General features: G+C 44.9%; 1 protein-coding gene across 2 annotated transcripts in view; it reads left to right on the forward strand.

Annotated features, from left to right (window-relative positions):
- OTOA (otoancorin) overlaps positions 1 to 22587 on the forward strand; it is a 96762-nt gene that overhangs the window by 14688 nt on the left and 59487 nt on the right. Inside the window, exons 3-11 of one of the 2 annotated variants that reach the window (NM_144672.4) lie at positions 260 to 288; positions 381 to 411; positions 529 to 556; positions 3083 to 3170; positions 6575 to 6706; positions 8758 to 8993; positions 12929 to 13032; positions 19120 to 19220; positions 22233 to 22372. In NM_144672.4, the coding sequence (NP_653273.3) occupies positions 260 to 288; positions 381 to 411; positions 529 to 556; positions 3083 to 3170; positions 6575 to 6706; positions 8758 to 8993; positions 12929 to 13032; positions 19120 to 19220; positions 22233 to 22372 (889 nt within the window). Of the gene's footprint in view, positions 1 to 259; positions 289 to 380; positions 412 to 528; positions 557 to 3082; positions 3171 to 5773; positions 5898 to 6574; positions 6707 to 8757; positions 8994 to 12928; positions 13033 to 19119; positions 19221 to 22232; positions 22373 to 22587 lie in introns of those variants that run through there. The other variant, NM_001161683.2, reaches the window with a different exon arrangement.

Below are 22587 nucleotides of genomic sequence, written 5' to 3' on the forward strand. Positions count from 1 at the left end.
AATGAGGTGGGATAGATACATTAGGTACATGATGCTGTAAGTTGTTTTTGGGCTGTGTGTGTGTGCATGTATGATTTTTCAGGATTATTCTAAGAGGATTTTTCAAGCCACGGTTTTCTCAGAGTGGACAGTTATAATTAAAATTCACTAAAAATTTCCTTCATGAGTGGCTTTCTGGGGCTTTTCCTCTAACCCATATTTGTAGTTTTGAAGGTCACACAATTCAATTCTAGTTATACATTCAATGGCTTTCTTACAGATTTGCATCCATTGTTGCAAAACATGGCGGTGAGTATTCTATTTTCTGTTAATCAGAGTCCCCTCTACTGGAATTGCCAACTTTTGGTTGTTATACTTGATGTTATCTCTTTGCCTTTTAGGAAGAAATAATAGATGGAAGCTATCTGAATGGTAATGTGCCCCCTTGATCTCCACTTGCTTCTTCTAAGAATTTCAAACAGAATGTAGCTGTGATCTCTCTGGAATGATTCCTTTTAAAGATGTCTTTTCATTTTACTCCCATTGTAGCACTGCTGGATCTCATACAGTTTCAAAGGTAAAATGCCCTAGAGGAGAGGGGAAGGGATGGTATAGATTTTTAATAAAAATTCTTAATGGAAGTCTCTTAATTGTAAAAAGTAATATGTGCTCATTACAAAAAATGTCAATCAATGCACAATGTGTTAAAAGTCAACAAACACCCTTGCTCCACGGGCATCATTCCTCCTCACTCTAGCATAAGGGCCAATTTTTTTTCTTTTTTTGAATGGAGTTTCGCTCTTGTTGCCCAGGATGGAGTGCAGTGGTGCTATCTTGGCTCACTACTGCAACCTCTGCCTCCGGGGTTCAAGCAATTTTCCTGCCTCAGCCTCCTGAGTAGCTGGGGTAACAGGTACCTGTCACCATGCCCGGCTAATTTTTGTATTTTTAGTAGAGATGGGTTTTCACCATGTTGGCCAGGCTGGTCTCAAACTCCTGACCTCAGGTGATCTGCCGGCCTCAGCCTCCCAAAGTGCTGGGATTACAGGTGTGAGCCACCGCAACCGGCCTAAGAGCTGAAATTTATTGAGTGCTTTCTATGTAGTGGGTATTCTACTAAGCGCTTGGTATAGAAACAATCTAATCCTCACAAGTGCCACACAATGTAGTTCCCATTGTTATCCCATTGCACACAATGGTGAAACTGAGGTCCAGGAAGGGTAAATCAAGGACACACAACTGGGATGTGAACCAGTGGCCTGGCTCCAGGACCCATTCCCTTTACTGTTGCATTATAAGCTGCATACAGACAGATACCAGGGACATGGGGCAGGGAACTAGGTAGTGTGGAAACGCCAATATTAATAAACAATTCTAATATGATGAGTACTATGATCGATAAGAAATAGGGGTCTTGGGGCCTCATATCAGGGATACCCAGTTATGTTAAAGTGAAAGACTCCCATAACCACTCCTTTCCCTAAGATAACACCAATGGGTACTTTTGGATATATTCTTTCAGTCTAAGTATTTTATTTGTTTATTAATTTATCCATCCATCCATCCATCCATCCATCCATCTCTTTATAAGATTACAGGCCGGGCGCGGTGGCTCATGCCTATAATTCCAGGACTTTGAGAGGCCAAGGTGGGCGGATCATGAAGTCAGGAGTTCGGGACCAGCCTGGCCAACATAGTGAAACCCTGTCCCTACTAAAAGTACAAAAGAATTAGCTAGGCATGGTGGTGCATACCTGTAGTCCCAGCTACTCAGGAGGCTGAGGCAGGAGGATCACTTGAACGCGGGAGGCTGAGGTTGTGATAAGCCAAGATTGAGCCACTGCACTCCAGCCTGGGCAACAGAGTGAGACTCCATCGCAAAACAAACAAACAAACAAACAAAGAAGCAAACGTAAGATTACAAAAGGCTTTTCATAGGCTGGGCATGGTGGCTTATCCTGTAATCCCAGCACTTTGGGAGGCCAAGGTAGGAGGATCGCTTAAGGCCAGGAGTTCCAGCCCAGCCCGGCCAACATGGCAAAACTCAGTATCTACTAAAAATAGAAAAATGAGCTGGATGTGGTGGTGCACGCCTGTAATTCCAGCTACTTGGAAGGCTGAGGCAGGAGAATCGCTTGAACCTGGGAGGCGGAGGTTGCAGTGAGCTGAGATTGCACCACTGCACTCCAGCCTGGGTAACAGAGTGAGACTCTGTCTCCAAAAAAAAAAAAAAAAATGAGAAAAGGCTATTCATGGGCATTTACTGTGTGTTGGGCACAGTCTTACGCAATTTTCATGTGTGAACAAATTTTAATCTCACAGTTGTTAACCATATTTCATATAAAGGGAAACTGAGGCACAAGAAAATTTATCAAATTGTCTCAAGCCACACAACTAAGTGATGGAACTAGGATTCAAATCCAGTTTGGAGCCCACACTCCTAACTATGCTATTCCAGCCTCTCATGGTGTACCTAGCGTCTGCTTTTAAATGTACATCTTTCTAACACAATCAGTTTGGATTGTAGTCAATCTAAGCAGATTGTTACGGGAATTAGAATATTGCATACAGCTTAGAAATTTGGGAATTGGCTTTGAGAGAATGGGATCCAGGCAGATTCCTAGAATTGGAAACTATCCTATCACTGTGCCTGGTTAAGAAATTTTTTACTTCAGGCTGGGTGCAGCAGCTCACTCCTGTAATCCCAGTACTTTGGGAGGCAGAGGTGGGAGGATTGCTTGAGCCCAGGAGTTTGAGACCAGCCTGGGCAACATAGTGAGACCCCATCTCTACAAAAAATTAGCTGGGTGTTGTGGCATGCACCTGTGATCCCAGCTGCTTGGGTGGCTGAGGTTGGAAGATCACTTGGGCTGGGGAGATTGAGGCTGCAGTGAGCCGTGATCGCGCAACAGAGCAAGACCCTGTTTCAAAAAAAGAGAAAAGAAAAAAGGAAAGAAAAGAAAAGAGAAACCTCCCACTTCCAAGTACAAAGTCCTAACACCCCTGGTCCATCCCTACCTGTCCCCTGGGCACTTAGCTAGTACAGTAGTGCTTGTAGGAGAATCTGTCATTGTGATCTTTTCCTGTCTGTCTTCAACTGAAGCTCCCACGTGTGGACGGATGACCTGTCCCACAGAGTCCTGGCCTATCTGAATTCCCGGAATGTTGCCTTCACCATCCCCAGCCTGCAGGTGTGTACCTGAGACCCATCTATATGTTCCCATCTCAGTGCTCAGGGATTGCAAACTCAGGGGCCAGGTAAGTTGGAGAAGTGGGCTGGATGTAGAGATAGTCTTTGCTTCTGCAAGGAAAAGGGTTCTGTCCAGTTTTTCTTGAAACATGATATAAGCTATTTTGTCTTTCTTTCATTTTCCCACCTTTGATGGAGACATGGTATATTAGGATATAGGCTGAGCTGCTATAACAAAAAGACCCCCAGATGACAGCAGCTCAAACAATTTAGTTTATTTCTTTCTCGTACAATAGTCCAGAGCTAAGTGGGAAAGCCACAGAGAAAAGGCAGCTCTATTCCATGAGGTTATCCAAGGACCCAGGTTCCTTTTATCTTTTTGCTTTGTCATCTCCTGGGGAGTTATTGCCCATGTGGTGGAAACACCTCTTCCTTTCTCCAATCCAGGGGATGGGTGGGAAGAAGAAGACAAGGGTAGCATCTTCTCTTCTGAGGATATGACGCAAGTTACACAATTCCCTCTGCACACATTAGATTGGCTCACACACCATAGTCACATCTTACTGCAAAGGAGCCATGTACCCAACTAAAAGTTGAAGGGTTCAATTGATAAAGAGCAGTGAGAGAGTGGATATTTGGATATAGTGATCAGTCTTTCTACCATGGGTCCAAGAAATGTACTACTGTAATGAAAACAATAGCACAAGCGTGTTGATAGGTGGCAAAGGATATTTGCCTTAAGGGGCAATAGGGCTCGTGCCTGTGGTGGTGACTGCGGTGAACTGCACAGCACCTGCCTGACTGTTAGCCTAGTGTGGCATGTTGTGTCTTTATCATCACACTGTGGATAACACAGAAAATTGGAGAAAAATTCTTTCAGTATTGAGAAAGTTATTCAGTTTAGCAAAAGACCATTTATGTCATTAATTAATGAATAAAGTTCTGACATATGTCTTCATTGTTTCCATTTTTACTTATGTTTGAATGAAAATGGAAACATCAACCAACATTGATATCACAAATATACTCAGAGAGCTTGTTGTCTGCCAGGTCCCAGGACAGCCACTAGCTGGAGGTGGCTGTTGGCCCCACATGGCATCTGCTTTTCTTTTCTTCTTCATCAGTCAGGGAAACTGAAAGAGAAGCAATGCTTGCCACTTTTCTCTCTAGCAGTAATGGATACTCATGAGATGTATCCACTTTAATCTGATACGTTTCTTCCTGTGTATATACCATATTTATTTATTCATTTAATATCTACTGAGTTAACATCTGCTTTCTGCCAGGCATAGCTCTAGACACTGAGGACTCAGTAGGGAACAAGGCAGTCATGATACTACCCACAAGGACCTTTCATTTTAGGGGTGAGGCTTTAATTAAGCCATTATTCACCTTGGTCAAGATAGAGAATAATAGCTGGCACTATTGAGCACTTACTGTGTGCTAGCAACTATTGAAAACACTTTACACACTGAATCCTCGTAATAACTCTATGTGGTAAGTCCTTTTATTGCCTCCATTTTGCAGATAAGAAAACTGAGGCCCAGAAGAAATGTTGCTGATTTAGCAAATAAAAATACAGATGTGACTCTGCGTGGTGGCTCATGCCTGTAATCCCAGCACTTTGAGAGGCATAGGTGGGAGGATTGCTTGATACCAGGAGTTGGAGACAAGCCTTGCCAACATAGCGAGACCTTGTCTCTACAAAAACAAACAAACAAACAAACAAAAAATTAGCTGAGTGTGGTGGTGTGGCCTGTAGTCCCAGCTACTTGGAAGGCTGAGGCAGGAGGATTGCTTGAGCCCAGGAGTTTGAGGTTACGGTGAGCTATGATCATACCACTGCATTTCAGCCTGGGCAACAGAGCAAGACCCCGTCTCTAAAACAAAAACAAAAACAAAAAACAGATGTCCAATTTCGTTTGAATTTCAGATAAATAATGAGTGATTTTTTTTTTTTTTGAGACAGAGTCTTGCTCTGTTGCCCAGGCTGGAGTGCAGTGGTGCCACCTCAGCTCACCACAACCTCCTCCTCCCAGGTTCAAGCAATTCTCCTGCCTCAGCCTCCTGAGTAGCTGGGACTACAGGTGCATGCCATCATGCCTGGCTAATTTGTGTATTTTTAGTAGAGATGGGGTTTCACTATGTTGGCCAGGCTGGTCTCAAACTCCTGACCTCATGATCCGCCTGTCTTGGCCTCCCAAAGTGCTGGGATTACAGGTGTGGGCCACCTTGCCTGGCAAACAATGAGTGATTTTTTAAGTTAAGTATGTCCTATGCAACATTTGAGACATACTTATACTAAAAAAAAAAAAATGTGTAGTTTTTCCCGAAATTCAAATTTAACTGAGCATCCTGTATTTTACCCAGCAACCCTAGTTAAGTAACTCGTCCAAGCCACACAGCTAGTAAGTGTCAAGGTGGGGATTTGCATGTGGCTTGTCTGGGTCTAGAGTTCACCTTTTGCCCATGACATCACACTGGGCATGTCTGTTTAACGGAGATTTAGAGAACAATTCCCCAGACAGCAGAGGAAATCTCTTTCAGGAGAGGCTGATGGCTTCTGCTCCTTGCCCTGTAGGGGGCGCCACAGAGTATGTTCATTTCGCCTGTATTTTGCTCCTGCGCTGGTAGCTTGGGTTTGGGCACAGTGCCATCTGGGGTTCTAAACTTCCTGGACAAAGGCCAGCTGCTGCTGATGGGAAACTCAATCACCTACAGGGACCAGGCAGGCCATGGAATGGGGGAATCGGGCTGGCTGGGCCTGAGAGTTACTTCAACAAGCAGCTGTCCCTTGGCTTGCCAATTATTGCCTAAAAGGGGATGTGCGCCCGGTGTTGCCAAACCTTTACTTTTTCAAGAGAAGTTGGAAATCTTGATCTTGTGAGGAATCCCCTTATTATTATTATTATTATTATTATTATTATTATTATTATTATTATTTTTTAGGTGGAGTCTCGCTCTGTCACCAGGCTGGAGTGCAGTGGCGTGATCTCGGCTCACTGCAACCTCCGCCTCCCGGGTTTAAGCGATTCTCCTGCCTCAGCCTCCCAAGTAGCTGGGACTACAGGCGTGCGCCACCACACCCAGCTAATTTTTGTATTTTTAGTAGAGACGGGGTTTCACCATGTTGGCCAGGATGGTCTTGATCTCTTCACCTCGTGATCCACCCGCCTCGGCCTCCCAAAGTGCTGGGATTACAGGCATGAGCCACCGCGCCCGGCCCCTCATTTTTAAATGTTGGCGGCTAATGAGGAAATTTGGAGGTGGCCAAACCAGACTGCTGGCCACTAGTTGTGGTCTCTGCAGGGAATGAGGGGGCCGGGCTGGGCCGCTGGCCATGGTGCTGACCATGTGCTCCTGCTCTTTCTGTTCTCACCGACTCTCCCAACACCCCAAATACAGGCAGCCGTGGAAAACCACCTGGAGCAGCGTCTGCACCAGCCCCAGAAGCTGCTGGAGGACCTGAGGAAGACAGACGCCCAGCAGTTCCGCACTGCCATGAAATGCCTCTTAGAAGACAAGAAGGACGGCTTGGTGAGGAGCCCTTGGCATCCCGGGGATAGAGGAAGTCCAGCACCACGTGGTGTTTGTTGAATTGAATAAATGGAGCCTGACTTAGGCCTTGGCACTTCATTGTCTCTTCCTCTCTCCTTCTGCCTCCTCCAACCCCCTGGGGGCTTTAGGACCTAAGTTTTCTCACTTACTTTCTCCAAAGTTAAAATGAAGAGCCTTACAATTTTTTATTTTATTTTTGTTTTAGAGTCTCACTCTGTCACTCAGGCTGGAGTGCAGTGGCACAATCTCAGCTCACTGTAACTTCTGCCTCCTGGGTTTAAGTGATTCTTGTGCCTCAGCCTCCCAAGTAGCTGGGATTACAAGTGTGCACCACCATGCCTGGCTAATTTTTGTATTTTTAGTAGAGACGAGATTTTGCCAGGCTGGTCTCAAACTCCTGGCCTCAAGTGATTTGCCTGCCTCGGCATCCCAAAGTGCTGGGATTACAGGTGTGAGCCACCATGCCTGGCCTAATTCATATTTTTGTCAGTACTAAGAAATGACGGGTCCTAATTAAGGATCTGAGAATCTCCTGGTTGTTTGGGTCAATAAACATCCACTAGTAAAAATTACTATGCACCAGTGGACACAGAGATCCTCCTGCACTCAAGGAGCTCACGGTCTGGAGGGGAGACAAAAAACAGGAACAGTTAATTTCCACAAAATGAGTTTAGTGATCCAAGAATATCACAAAGCAAGGCCTCTGAGACCTTAAAAACTGGGACTTAAAAAAGGTAAGTCATTTGCTCAGGACACACAGATAATGGAGGCCCTGGGACTGGAACCTGGGAATGCCTGACCCTAGTACCCATGGGGCTTAACCGGTAGGATTGTCATGAGAATTAATCAGATGATGCGTTTGCTCCAAGCTTGGCACAGTAGAGTCAATGCTCAGTAAAATGGAGGCTTTTTTTTTTTTTCTTAGAGACAGGGGCTTGCTCTGTCATCCAGGCTGGAGTGCAGTGGTATAATTATAGCTCACTGCAGCCTTGATATCCTGAGCCCAAGTGATCCTCCCACCTCAGCCTCTCAAGCAGCTAGGACTACAGGTGCGCATTAGCACACCCAGCTAATTTTAAAAAATTTATTTTTTAGGGACGGGGTCTCCCTGTGTTGCCTAGGCTGGTCTCAAACTCCTAGGCTCAAGCGATCAACCTGCCTCAGCCTCCCAACATGCTGGGGTTATAGATGTGAGCCACTGTTCCAGGCCAATCAGTCCTTTTCAAAATCTCCCCAGATGGGCTGGGCATGGTGGCTCATACCTGTAACCCTAGCACTTTGGGAGGTTGTGGGCAGATTGCTTGAGCCCAGTAGTTTGAGACCAGCCTGGACAACATGGCAAAACTCCATCTCTACAAAAAACAGCTGAGCATGGTGGTGTGTGCCTGTAGTCCCAGCTACTTGGGAGGCTGAGGTGGGAGGATCGCTCAATCCCAGGAGGTTGAGGCTGCAGTGAGCTATAATCACACCACTGCACTGCGGACTGGGTGACAGAGCGAGACCCTGTCTCAAAAATAAAATAAAACTTTAAAAAAGCTCCCCAGGTGATTCTGATGTGCACCCAGAGATGAGAACCACGGGCTTGGAGGAAAGACGCATGAGTCCCTTTAATGCATTATAGAGTTTGGTTCAAGATGCCCTGGGGCCACATAAGGGAGGGAAATCTGATCTGAAGTAGGAAGTTGGAGGGATCAGAGACTTCACGAAGGTGATGGCAATGGAGCCCAGACTTAAAGGATGAGCTAGATTTCACCAGAAAAAGGAAAGATGCAGAATTCCAGGTAGACCAAGGGCCTGATGTATGCTGGTCAGGTGTATCTGGAGAGTGGGGAGGCTCCACAGTGAGTGGAGCAGGTAAAGGCCTTGACTTTGTTCTGCAGGGAATGGAAAGTTCTAGAAGTTTCAACATAGCAGCATGGTGTTAAACAGTGATCCTGACTTTCCCCACTGTTGCAATGTGTGGTCCCTCCCAGGGCTTCCAAATTGAGAGGCAGCTCTCAAACTGACCCTGGCTTCTGTCATTGCTTTAGGACCTGAAAGACATCATCATCGACTTAGGAGAGATTCGAGAACGAGCCTTGCAGAGCCCTGGCGTGAACCGCAGCCTGTTTCTCATCACACTGGAGAGGTGTTTCCAGATGCTGAACTCCCTGGAGTGTGTGGAGATCCTGGGCAAGGTGCTGAGGGGGTCCTCAGGGAGCTTTCTCCAGCCAGACATCACAGAGCGGCTCCCTCGGGACCTGCGCGAGGATGCCTTTAAGAACCTGTGAGTGGTTCCTCCGAACTTTTTTTTTTTTTTTTTTGAGATGGAGTTTCACTCTGTCGCCCAGGTTGGAGTGCAGTGGTGCAGTCTCGGCTCACTGCAACCTCTGCCTCCCAGGTTCAAGTGATTCTCCTGCCTCAATTCCAAGTAGCTGGGACTACAGGGGCGCCTACCACACCCGACTAATTTTTGTATTTTTGTACAGATGGAGTTTCACCATGTTGGCCAGGCTGGTTTCGAACTCCTGACATCAAGTGATCCACCTGCCTTGGCCTCCCAAAGTGCTTGGATTACGGGCATGAGCCACTGCACCCAGCCACTCCCACCTTCTTAACTCATCACAGTATCCTTCAGGGGCTGCCGTGAGAATGCAAAGAGATCTCACCTGGCAGCAGGGAGAAGACAAGTGGGGACAGGTTGATATGCACGTTTTGGAGCAAAAGCTTAACATCTGTAGAGTTAGGCTGGGTGTGGTAGCTCACACCTGTGATCCCAGCACTTTGGGAAGCAGAGGTGGGTGGATCATGATGTCAGCAGTTCGAGACCAGCCTGGCCAACATAATGAAACCACGTCTCTACTAAAAATACAAAAATTAGTTGGGCATGGTGGTGGGCGCCTGTAATCTCAGCTACTTGGGAGGCTTGAGGCAGGAGAATTGCTTGAACCTGGGAGGTGGAGGTTGCAGTGAGCTGGGATCATGCCACTGCACTCCAACCTGGGCGACAGAGTGAGACTCCATCTCAAAAACAAAAACAAACAAACAAAAAACAAAAACAAAAAAACCCACATAAATAAATACAGTGGGAAAAAAAGTGTTACTAAATCCTAGCTAGATATGTTGCTTGCTTAAGTGTGTTAGTCAGATTGGGCTGCTGTAACAAAAATACCATAGACTGTGTGGCTAGTAAACAAGAAGCATTTATTTCTCATGGTTCTGGAGGCTGGGAAGTCCAAGATCAAGGTGCTGACAGACTTGGTGTCTGGTGAGGGCTCGCTTTCTGGTTTATAGGTGGCACCTTCTCGCTGTGTCCCCTTGTGGTGGAAGGGGTGGGCAAGCCCTCTGGGATCTCTTTTATAAGGGCACTAATCCCATTCATGAGGTATCCAGCCTCATGACCTAATCACCTCCTCAAAACTCCACCTCTTAATACCTTCATGTTGGGAATTAGGATTTCAACACATGAAATTTGGGGAAACGCAAACATTCAGTCCACAGCACAAAGGCTCTGAGCCTGGGTCTTGTTCCATTGATTTAAAAACAATCTGAGTGTGTTTTAAAGATTCACTGGCACTAAACTGAGACTTTGTTCTTGAGGGACAACAGAAGGAGTGACAGAGCACTGAAAAAGGAGGACTTCTCCTTTTGAGATGCCATGCCAGCTTAGATTGGTTACACCTAGCCCTGCATGAAATTGCGCTTTGATGTAAACCAAATTCGAGGATTGTGTCTAGGACTTGAAGGGCCATAGGCATTGCAACCACCGCCAACTCCCTCCTTTTACTAATCGTAGTGCTTTATGGCCATAAAGCACTCTTTCTAAATCTAAAAATGATTTAGAAGAAGGAAAAGACCAATATGATGATAACAATGTGGGAGATTCCTTTTATCTTTTGTAGCCAAATGACAGTAAGGAAAACAGACAGTATGCTGACCTCATCGTTTCTCTAGGTTGCCAGTTTTTTTCACTAAGATGTATATAAATGAAACCCTTTTGCTCTGCAGGCTATTATACTATTCCTTTTAAATTCAGCATCTCTTCCCTCCTCCGTTCATGCAGATTGTGGAAGAGAACATCATTGGGAGAGAGAGTTTATTGGTTACTGCTCACCTGAGTAAGCAGTAAGCCCAAGTGGCAGAAAAACCCATTCAAACTGGCTTGAAGCAAAAAGGGAATTATTGGAACATGTAATTGAATAGTTTTAGGTGTAGGGCTGACTTCAGACGCAGCTGGATCCAGAGACTCAAATGATGCCATCAGAAACATCTTTGGCTCTTTGTCTTATATGCTGAAAACCACTGAATTGTGCACTTTATTTATGTAATTTTTTTTTTTTTGAGACAGAGTTTCACTCTTGTTGCCCAGGCTGGAGTGCAATGGCCCCATCTCGGCTCACTGCAACCTCCACCTCCCAGGTTCAAGTGATTCTCCTGTCTCAGCCTCCCAAGTAGCTGGGATTACAGGTGCATGCCACCACGCCTGGCTACTTTTTGTATTTTTAGTAGAGACAGAGTTTCATCATATTGGTCAGGCTGGTCTCAAACTCCTGACCTCAGGTGATCCGCCTGCCTTGGCTTCCCAAAGTGCTGGGATTACAGGTGTGAGCCACTGCACCCGGCCCAATTGTGTACTTTAAATGGGTGAATTGTAAGGTGTGGGAATTATATCTCAACAGAGCTGCCCCCACTTCCCCAAAAAAGGACCAAGAGGTGAGGAAGTGGAGACAATATGTATGGAATATTCTTTGGAAGGTGTTTAGCTGTGAAGGGGAAGAGGAAAATGGGAAAAATAGTTACATATACCTAAGGAGTGTGTTTGGGGGTATTTTTTGTTTTTAAGTTCTGGGGTACACGTGCAGGATGTGCAGGTTTGTTACATAGGTAAACGTGTACCATGGTGGTTTGCTGTACCTATCAACCCACCACCTAGGTATCAAGCCCAGCATGCATTAGATATTTTTCCTAATGCTCTCCCTCCCCCACCCCACCCCCACAATAGGACCCAGTGTGTGTTGTTCCCCTCCCTGTGTCCATGTGATCTCATCGTTCAGCTTCCACTTACAAGTGAGAACATGGGGTGTTTCATTTTCTGTTCCTGCGTTAGTTTGCTGAGGATAATGGCTTCCAGGTCCATTCATGTCCCTGCAAAAGACATAATCTTGTTCATTTTTATGGCTGCATAGTATTCCATGGTATATATGTACCACATTTTCTTTATCCAGTCTATTATTGATGGGCATTTGGGTTGACTACATGTCTTTACTATTGTGATTAGTGCTGCAATGATCATGTGTGCATTTATCTTTGTGACAGAATGATTTATATATTTTTGGGTATATACCCGATAATGGGATTGCTGGGTCAAATGGTATTTCTAGTTCTAGATCTCTGAGGAATCGCTACACTGTCTTCCACAATGGTTGAACCAATTTACATTCAAGAAAGGGAAGGTTTTTTTTTTTTAAATATACTTTAAGTTCTAGGGTACATGTGCACAACGTGCAGGTTTGATACATAGGTATACATGTGCCATGTTGGTTTGCTGCACCCATCAACTCATCATTTACATTAGGTATATCTCCTAATGCTATCCCCACCCCCTCCCCCCACCCCCCAACAGGCCCCGGTGTGTGATGTTCCCCTTGCTGTGCCCAAGTGATCTCATTGTTCAATTCCCACCTATGAGTGAGAACATGCGGTGTTTGGTTTTCTGTCCTTGTGATAGTTTGCTGAGAATGGTGGTTTCCAGCTTCATCCATGTCCCTGCAAAGGACACGAACTCATCCTTTTTTAGGGCTGCATAGTATTCCATGGTGTATATGTGTCACATTTTCTTAATCCAGTCCATCATTGGAGGACATTTGGGTTGGTTCCAAGTCTTTGCTATTGTGAATAGTGCCACAATAAACATACGTGTGCATGTGTCTTTATAGTAGCATGATTTATAATCCTTTGGGTACATACCCAGAAATGGGATTGCTGGGTCAAATGGTAATTCTAGTCCTAGATTCTTGAGGAATCACCACGCTGTCTTCCACAATGGTTGAATCAATTTACATTCCAACCAACAGTGTAAAAGCGTTTCTATTTCTCCACATCCAGGAGAGGGAAGGGTTTTAACACAAGACAGCTTTGGGTCACATTTGCTGTTGTGACTCCCTTTTTAATGCAGCCCCCACCTGCTTGTTATTAGCTGATGCCTGTGTTTGTGTCATTTAGATCTGCAGTGTTCAAAGATCTCTACGACAAAACCTCGGCTCATTCCCAGAGAGCTCTCTATTCCTGGATGACTGGAATACTGCAGACATCCTCCAATGCCACTGGTGAGCCTGTACTTGGAGGTGGGGTCACTTTTTGGGGGAAGAATATCTTCAGAAGAGGTGTTTCATCTCTGAAAACATGGATTTGATGTTGTTCTCTTCTGATTTTTACCACCTCCCACTGCTTCGAAAAACAGTTTGATGTGGCTTATGGAGTAAAACACATACTCCATTTCGTCAATGCAATTCGCACATGTGGAAGTCTGAAATAATGATGTGTTTGTATTTCATAATCTATGTTGTGTCCTAGTTTTTCAGTGGAATATAAATAATGATGGTAACTTAGATTCAATGTGAACCTTGAGTAGGGGTACAAGTTCAAAATCTGTATAAAAAAATCTATATTAAAATGAGAGAAGAGGCTGGGCGTGGTGGCTCACGCCTGTAATCCCAGCACTTTGGGAGGCCAAGGCAGGAGGATTGCCGGAGGTCAGGAGTTTGAGACCAGCCTGACCGACATGGTGAAACCACATCTCTACTAAAAATACAAAGATTAACCGGGCGTGGTGGCGGGCACCTGTAATCCCAGCTACTCAGGAGGTTGAGGCAGGAGAATCGCTTCAACTGGGGAGGCAGAGATTGCAGTGAGCTGAGATTGCACCACTGCACTCCGGCCTGGGTGACAGAGCGAGACTCCGTCTCGAAAAAAAAAAAAAGAGAGAGAGACAGAAGAGAATTTTATTAGGAAATCTAGGCAATAAAACACAGAAATTTAACTCTGAGCGTCCTGGCTACCAAAGCAGGTAGGTCAGGATTTATTTATTTGATGGATGTTGCTTAAAGCCTCCTTGTGTCCTAGAGCAGTCAAATTCATAGAGACAGAAATTAGAATGGTGGTACAGTTTCGATTTTGCAAGGTTCAAAATATTCTGGATATGGCTGGTAGTGACGGTTGCACAATAGTGTGGATGTGAATGTACTTACTCCCGCTCAACTCTACACTTAAAAATGGGGCCAGGTGGGCCGGGCATGGTGGCTCATGCCTACAATCCAGCACTTTGGGAGGCTGAGTCAGGCAGATCAACTGAGGTCAGGAGTTCGAGACCAGCCTGGCCAACATGGTGAACCCCCTTCTCTACTAAAAATACAAAAAATTAGCCTGGCGTGGTGGTTCATGTCTGTAATCCCAGCTATTTGGGAGGCAGAGGCAGGAGAATCACTTGAACCCAGGAGGTGGAGGTTACAGTGAACTGAGATCATGCAATTGCACTGCATCCTGGGTGACAGAGTGAGACTCTGTCTCAAAAAAAAAAAAAAAAAAGAAAGAAAGAAAAGAAAAGAAAATTGGGGCCAAGTGCGGTGGCTTACACCTGTAATCCCAGCACTTTGGGAGGCTGAGACGGGCAGATCACTTGAGGTTAGGAGTTTGAGACCAGCCTGGCCAACATGGCAAAACTCTGTCTTTACCAAAACAAACAAACAAAAAAACAAAAGCCAGGTGTGGTGGCGTGCGCCTGTGGTCCCAGCTACTCAGGAGGCTGAGGTGGGAGAATCACTTGAGCCCGGGAGGCAGAACTTGCAGTGAGCTGGGATTGTGCCACTGCATTCCAGCCTGAGTGATGTAGTGAGACCTTGTCGCAAAACAAGCAAACAAACAAACAAACAAACAAAACAGCGATAGAAAAGAATGGCTATATAGATTAGCAATACAAACAATTTCTCAGATAGCTTCAATTTGTTAAACCTTTAATGTCAGTAATGTAAACAGAATAAACTTTTTAAAAGCCCATTATGTATCAATAGCTGAAGATAGAGAAGGAAACAAAACAAAGTCTCTGCTCTTACGGCCCTATTGTTTTATTGTGGGAGTGTTGGTGGAGACAATTTTTTTAAACATGTAAGTAAATAAAGAGAGAGAGAGAACTTAGAAATTTAGATACTGGTAGCGGCTATGAAGAAAATAAAATAGTTTGTTGAGACGGAGTCTTACTCTGTCACCCAGGCTGGAGTGCAGTGGCACAATCTCGGCTCACTGCAACCTCTGCCTCCAGAGTTCAAGTGATTCTCTCAGCTCCTGAATAGCTGAGAGTATAGGTGCCTGCCACCATGTCCAGCTGATTTTTGTATTTTTAGTAGAGATGTGATTCCTCCATGTTGGCCAGGCTGGTCTCAAACTCCTGACCTCAACAGATCCACCTGGCTTGGCCTCCCAAAGTGCTGGGATTACAGGCATAAACCACTGCACCCAGGCAGAAAGGATATTACAGGTACTTTAGACTAGAAGAGCGCTTGGCAAATGTTTTCTGTAAAGGACCAGGTAAATATTTTAGGCTTTGTAAGCCTACCATCTCTGCCTCAACTATTCAGCTCTGACACTGCAGCTTGAAGACAGCTGTAGACAATAGATGAATGAGCATGCCTGTGTCCCAGTAAAGCTTTACTAATGGATGCTGAAATTTGCATAATTTTCATGTGTCACCAAATAGGATTCTTCTTTTGATTTTCCTTTCAGCTATTAAAAAAGGTAAAAAGCAGGCAGGGTGCAGTGGCTCATGCTTGTAATCCCAGCACTTTGGGAGGCCCAGGCAGGAGGATTACTTGAAGCCAAAAGTTCAAGACCAGCCTGGGCAACATAGCAAGACCCCATTTCTTAAAAAATTTTTTAAAAAATAGCCGGTGTCCTGGTACATGCCTGTAGTCCCAGCTACCCTGGAGGCTGAGGGGGGGAGGATCCCTTGAACCTAGGAGTTTGAGACTGCAGTGAGCCGTGATGGAGCCACTGGACTCCAGCCTGGGTGACAGAGCGAGACCTTGTCTCTAAAAAAAAGTCCAAAATAATAAATGTAAAAACCACTTTTGGCTCATGGGCTGTATAAAAACAGGTGATGGGCTGAGTTTGCCCCATGGATTGTAGTTTGCCAACTCTTGGACTAAGGAATCAGGGAAGACCTCTCAAGTGGGTGACATTTGAATCAAGACCAAAATGAGGAGATGGAACCAGTCACGTAAGGCTCTGGAGAAAGGGCATCCCAGAGAGAAATCCCAGGAAATACAAAGGCCCTGAGATGGGAATGAGCTCGGTGTGGGGAAAACATAAGGAAAGCAGATGGGGCTGGAGGATGGGGAATGCCAATCAATCTTTTCCTGGAATTCAGCTCTGAGATTTGTGCATAATGAACATTAAACAACATCATAATCAAAGTCTCAAATGCATAGTAGAATTCCCTCTGCCTGGTGCATAATTGTGGTCTCCAGGAATCAGAGTCTCACACTGGGTAACCATGAGAAAGCCTCTCTACCTTCAGACTTCTCTGTCTTTATTGCCAGAGTTTAATTAGGCACAGACTTTCCTTCTAAAATTCTTATACGGTGCGCTTCATTATTAAACTACAGTGAGTTAAAATTAATTCTGTTTGGACTTAAATTGTTTTTTCATGAAGGCCCTTGAGGGAACTGGAAATACTTTGGCTGTTAAAAATATCCCAACCTTGCTGGCCAGGTGTGGTCGCTTACACCTCTAATCCTAGCATTTTGGAAGGCTGAGGAAGGAGGATTGCTTGAGGCCAGGAGTTCAAGGCCAGCCTGGGCAATGTAGTGAGACCCCCCCCCCCCATACAAAAAAATTAAAAGATTAGCCTGATGTGGTGATGTGTGCCTGTAGTCCTAGCTACTAGGGAGGCTGAGGCAGGAGTTTGAGGCTTCAGTGAGCTATGATCATCCAACTGCACTCCAGCCTGGACAACAGAGGAAGAAAAAAAAAAATCCCAAGCTTGGGGATGATTGATCTACAGAAATACAGTTTATGCTTAGTAATAAGTTAAAAAATAAACAACTAAGCTTGGTTCTTTGTGAATGTGTGGTTCTAGCCTCAAAAGTTTCCAGCCCTCTATATAGGCAAGGCAAATGTCCAGGGTCCCCATCTAGAGGATCGTAGGAGTCTGCCTGTGTCACCCCAACATCTTTGATTCCTGGTTTGGGAGAGGCACTCCATATTTTCTTGTGAATCAGTCTATATAAAAGTTGATTTCTCCATCTTGTTTTGGCATCTGTCATTGCCCACGGCTTCTGCAAATAGCTCTTGATGTTAGAGTCACTGCACCCTGTAAATGCTCCCCACTTCCTTCATTTTCCCCAAATGCCTCCAATACAATATCGTGTGTAAATGTCTTTTGCTAAAGAGCTGGGGAGCATTGGCAGCCACTTCCAGCTCAGTGAAACTTGAAGTCTGATCCTAGACTTGAGATATATATATATATATATATATATATTTTTTTTTTTTTTTTTTTCTGAGATGGAGTCTGGCTCTGTCACTCAGGCTGGAGTGCAGTGGTATGATCTCAGCTCACTGCAACTTCTGCCTCCCGGGTTCAAGTGATTCTCCTGCCTCAGCTTCCTGAGTAGCTGGGACTACAGGCGTGCGCTACCACGCCTGGCTAATTTTTGTAGTTTTATTAGAGATGGGGTTTCGCCATGTTGACCAGTATGCTCTCGATCTCCTGACCTTGTGATCCACCTGCCTCGGCCTCCCAAAGTTCTGGGATTACAGGCTTGAGCCACCGCACCTGGCTGACTTGATGGTTTTTAAAATTCCACTGACATCTCAGTGATGGGGAATTTCAAAAGCCAGAACGGGGTGTCAGAGAGAGTCCTCTGGGAATTCAGTGGAGGGAGAAAGTACTTCTCGTGAAGGAGATAAGAGAAGGCTTTAAGGGAGAGGAAAATTTGAGCTTGATCTTAAAGTAGGATTTGGATGCAGAAGGGGTAAGGAAAAGCATTGTAGGTGGTGAGCAGGGCCAAGGCCAGCCAAGATTTGGAGAATGTTTTGGGGAGGTACAAGTAGTTTGCTTTGGTTCAAGTATAGTAACATGGTGATAATCAGTGAGGATGATCCTTACTAGTGGTAGTGATGCAAGACAGTCAAACATATTTCATGTTGCCAGATTATTATCATTATTATTATTATTAGACAGAGTCTCGCTCTGTCACCTAGGCTGGAATGCAGTGATGTGATCCCGGCTCACTGCCACCTCCACCTCCCGGGCTCAAGAGATTCTCCTGCCTCAGCCTCCCAAGTAGCTGGGATTACACCTGGCTAATTTTTCTTTGTATTTTTAGTAGAGACGGGATTTCGTGATTACAGGTGTGAGCCACCACATCTGGCCTCATGTTTCCAGATTATTTAGTAACCAATCGAATGAAAAAATAAAACTACATTTTGTGGGTTTTAAGTATTAAAAATAACCTGCATTTCTTATTTATTTATTTATTTTTAATTATTATTACTTTTTTAAAGAGACAGGGTCTCACTCTGTTGCCCAGGCTGGAGTGCAGTAGAGTGAGCTGTAGCCTCAAATTCCTGGTTTCAAGCAATCCTCCCTTCTCAGTTTCCTGAGTAGCTGGGACTACAGCTGGCTTTTTTTTTTTTTTTTTTTTTTTTGTAGCGATGAGGGTCTTGATATATTGCTCAGGCTGGTCTCAAACTCCTGGCCTCAAGCAATCCTCCTGCCTCAGCCTCCCAAAATGCTGAGATTACAGGTGCCTGGCCAGAAAGAATAATCTGTATTTCTAACAAGTGGCCAGGTGACACAGATGTTGCAATTCCAAAGACCACACTATTGAGTAACAAGGTCTGAGGTGGTGCGAATCTGTGTTCACATCCTACGTGTGATCTCACAGGTAGGCCCTACGTATATGATTGTTGAATGAGTTAATAACAAATTAATGTGGCTGGGCATGGTGGCTCATGCCTGTAATCCCAGCACTTGGGGAGGCAAGAGGCGGGCAGATCACCTGAGGTCAGGAGTTTGAGACCAGCCTGACCAACATGGTGAAACTCTGTCTCTACTAAAAATACAAAAATTAGCTGGGCATGGTGGTGGGTGCCTGTAATCCCAGCTACTTGGGAGACTGAGGCAGGAGAATCGCTTGAACCGGCAGGCGGAGGTTGAGATGAGCTGAGATCACACCACTGCACTCCAACCTAGGCAACAGAGTGAGATTCTGTCTCAAAAAACCCCGAAAAACAAAATAACGAATTAATGAATGCAAGAAGTAGGTCTTGACAGCAAAGATGCTGTTGACTATCACATACCAGTGTAAAGGCTTTTATTTATGTATGTACTCATTTATTCATTTCTTTATTTTTTGTAGATGACTCTGCTTCATGGGTCAGTGCGGAACACTTATGGGTTTTGGGCAGATACATGGTTCACCTATCGTTTGAAGAAATTACGAAAATTAGTCCTATAGAAGTAAGTTGGAAAAGTACATTTATATGTCACCATTACTAATACACTTGGGGTAAGGTGTATTCTCAAACTCTAATGTTCATCCAGCCAGTCAAGGTGCCTTGGAAATTGTGTACCCTCCTCAGCCCAATAGACCTTGGGCCTCTGAAGAAAACTATTGGAAGAAAGTTTCAAGTGGGCAGTCATGGGATTGTTTTAGTGTGGAAGGGCTAAGAAAAGAAAAAGAATTGTGGACAACTAAGATCACATCTCTGATGTGAGCAAACATGATTTAAAGGGATTGTTGGCTATGAACCAAAAATCATTTAAGGGTATTTTTGTACTGGAGAAGGCCAAGGACAAAAGATATAAAGTTTCCCATCCTTGGGATCATGAACTCAAAGCAAAAGCAAAATGGATTAATAGCTACTTCTATTTATAGCTACTTCTGTTAATAGCTACTTGAGCATGAGCAATGGTTAGATTTTAATTCTAGAGTTTACAGTGGAGAAATACACACATTCTAGGATTACTTAACTCACTAGTCAACCTGTCCCTCTCCTTTTGATGTTGACCCAATGACACTAAAATCCCTTGGGCATCATGATTCTTGAATGCGGTCTCCAAAGAATGCTGCCAACACAAAGGGATTCATGAAGAGACTGTGGGCCTTGCTTCCAATTTTTCTTCTTCTTCTTCTTCTTTTTTAAGTCATATGTGCCCTGACTCTTCTGGCCAGTGAGAGAAGTGTTTGCATCAAATGACTGGCCTGTTCAAGGACCCATTGACCCAGCAATGTGTGGTTATTATGAAACCAGAGGCAGAACGAGCTTTCTCTCTTTTACCTAGGGGGCTGGGAGTATTTCAAGTGTCTTCCGATTTTTATAACCCGCAGTCCTAGAATTAACCCCGCACCCCACTGCCATTTACTCTCTCAATGTAGAGTTGCTTTGAGTAGGTAACAGCTTAAATTCTTAGAAAGCTGAGCCCCCTAGAGGAAATTTCTAAGGTCAAGCACTCATTTGCAACTTTTTATTCGCTAAAAATGTAGAGAAGGGAGAAGTCAAGAATAACACTGCTAAAAGGGAATTTTATTTTATTTTATTTGTTTATTTATGAAATGGAGTCTCGTTCTGTCGTCCAGGCTAAAGTGCAGTGGCGTGATCTCAGCTCACTGCAACCTCCTTCTCCCAGATTCAATTGATTCTCCTGCCTCAGCCTCTTGAGTAGCTGGGATTACAGGCACATGCCACCATGCCTGGCTAATTTTTATATTTTTAGCAGAGACGAGGTTTCACCATGTTGGCCAGGCTGGTCTTGAACTCTTGACCTCAGGTGATCTGCCTTGCCTCAGCCTCCCAAAGTGCTGGTATTACAGGTGTGAGACACCGCACCCAGCCTAAAAAGGAATTTTATATGGACAAAGAGTACGATCCACAAAGGAGAGACAACTTTATGAGCCCCTTTGAGCACAGCATAATACTGTCTCAAAATATAGAATGTGCCGGCTGCCGTGGCCCATGCCAGTAATCCCAGCACTTTGGGAGGCCAAGGCGGGAGGATCACTTGAGCCCAGAAGTGCAAGACCAGCCTGGGCAACATAGTGAAACCTCATCTCTACAAAAAAATTTAAAAATTAGCCAGGTGTAGTGGTGTGTGCCTGAGGTCTCAGCTACTTGGGAGGCTGAGGTGGGAGGATCACTTGAGCCCAGGAGGTCGAGGCTGCAATAAGCCATGATCACACCACTGCACCCAAGCCTGGGTAAAAGAGTGAGACTGTGTCTTGGCCGGGCGCAGTGGCTCACGCCTCTACTCCCAGCACTTTGGGAGGCTGAGGCGGGTGGATCATGTGAGGTCAGGTGTTCAAGACCAGCCTGGCCAACATGGCGAAACCCCGTCTCTACTAAAAATACAAAAATTAGCCGGGCATGTTTGCACATGCCTGTAATCCCAGCTACTCAGGAGGCTGAGGCAGGAGTATCACTTGAACCCGGGAGGCTGAAGTTGCAGTGAGCTGAGATTGTGCCACTGCACTCCAGCCTGGGTGACAGAGCGAGACTCCATCTCAAAAAAATAAAAATAAAAATAAAAATAAAAACAAAAATAAAATAAAAAGAGTGAGTCAGTGTCCCCCCAAAATTATATATATAATTTATAATCTGCTAGAAATACAAGGAAGAATAGATAGATATGAGTCCTGTAGTAGTAGAAGACTTGCACGTGGCACCCTTGGACATGTGGGCCAAAAAGGAACAAGAATGTTGGGAATCTGAATAGTATATTTAATAAGTTGAATATATATGCACCAAACTTTGTGTCTTACAAAGAGAACACATACTCTTTTCCATCACCCAAGGGCCATTTATAAACTCATTCATCTATTAAAAAAATTCTGATTCTTCAAAGCAGAAAGTTTGTGGACCACATTCTCTGACCTCCATATAACAAATCTAGAAATAAATGTGCAAAGATTAGCTTTTAAAAAGCCCAGTTTCTCAGATATTAAAAAATAATTCTTTCCTAAAGAATAGTTAGGTTGAGGAGGAAACTAAAGTAGCAGTTACAGACCACTAAGAAATCAATGACAATGAGGCCAGGCATGGTGGCTTACGCCTGTAATCCCAGCACTTTGGGAGGCCGAGGCGGGTGGATCACTTGATGCTGGGAGTTCGAGACCAGCCTGGACAACATGGTGAATCCCCATATCTACTAAAAATACAAATATTAGCCAAGCGTGGTGGTGGGCACCTGTAGTCCCAGCTACTCCGGAGGCTGAGGCAGGAGAATTGCTTGAACTCAGGAGGTGGAGGTTGCAGTGAACTGAGATCATGTCACTGCACTCCAGCCTGGGCGACAGAGTGAGACTCCATCTCAAAAAAAAAAAAAAAGAAAAGAAAAAAAGACATCAATGACAATGAGAACCAGGAGGTGTATCCAAGTGTCCATGATGGGGCACAGTGCAGACCACCAGGGTGGGGCCACACTGGGCCACTTCCACCCTCCTCACTGATATTCTCGTCCTTGTCCACCAACTAGATTGGGCTGTTTATCAGCTATGACAACGCCACCAAGCAGCTGGACATGGTCTATGACATCACACCTGAGCTGGCCCAGGCGTTTCTGGAGAGGATCAGCTCCTCCAACTTTAACATGAGGAATACCTCCACCATCCACAGGCAAGCGCATGAGCTCTGGGCCTTGGAGCCCTTTCCCAAGATGTGATCTAAGCATCAGAATTCTCTGAGCAGCAAAACACCCAGGGAGGGAAGGGAGGTGGCTGGTCCATCTCTTTGAATAGTCCCATATTTCTCTGTGCATGTGAGGAGAGGTGTCTGCAACTTTTTTTATGAAGAGGTTATGAAGCTGGGTGAAAGGATAAATGCTTTCTGAG

Source organism: Homo sapiens, chromosome 16, assembly GCF_000001405.40.
Source record: "Homo sapiens chromosome 16, GRCh38.p14 Primary Assembly".
Taxonomy (NCBI): Eukaryota; Metazoa; Chordata; class Mammalia; order Primates; family Hominidae; genus Homo; species Homo sapiens.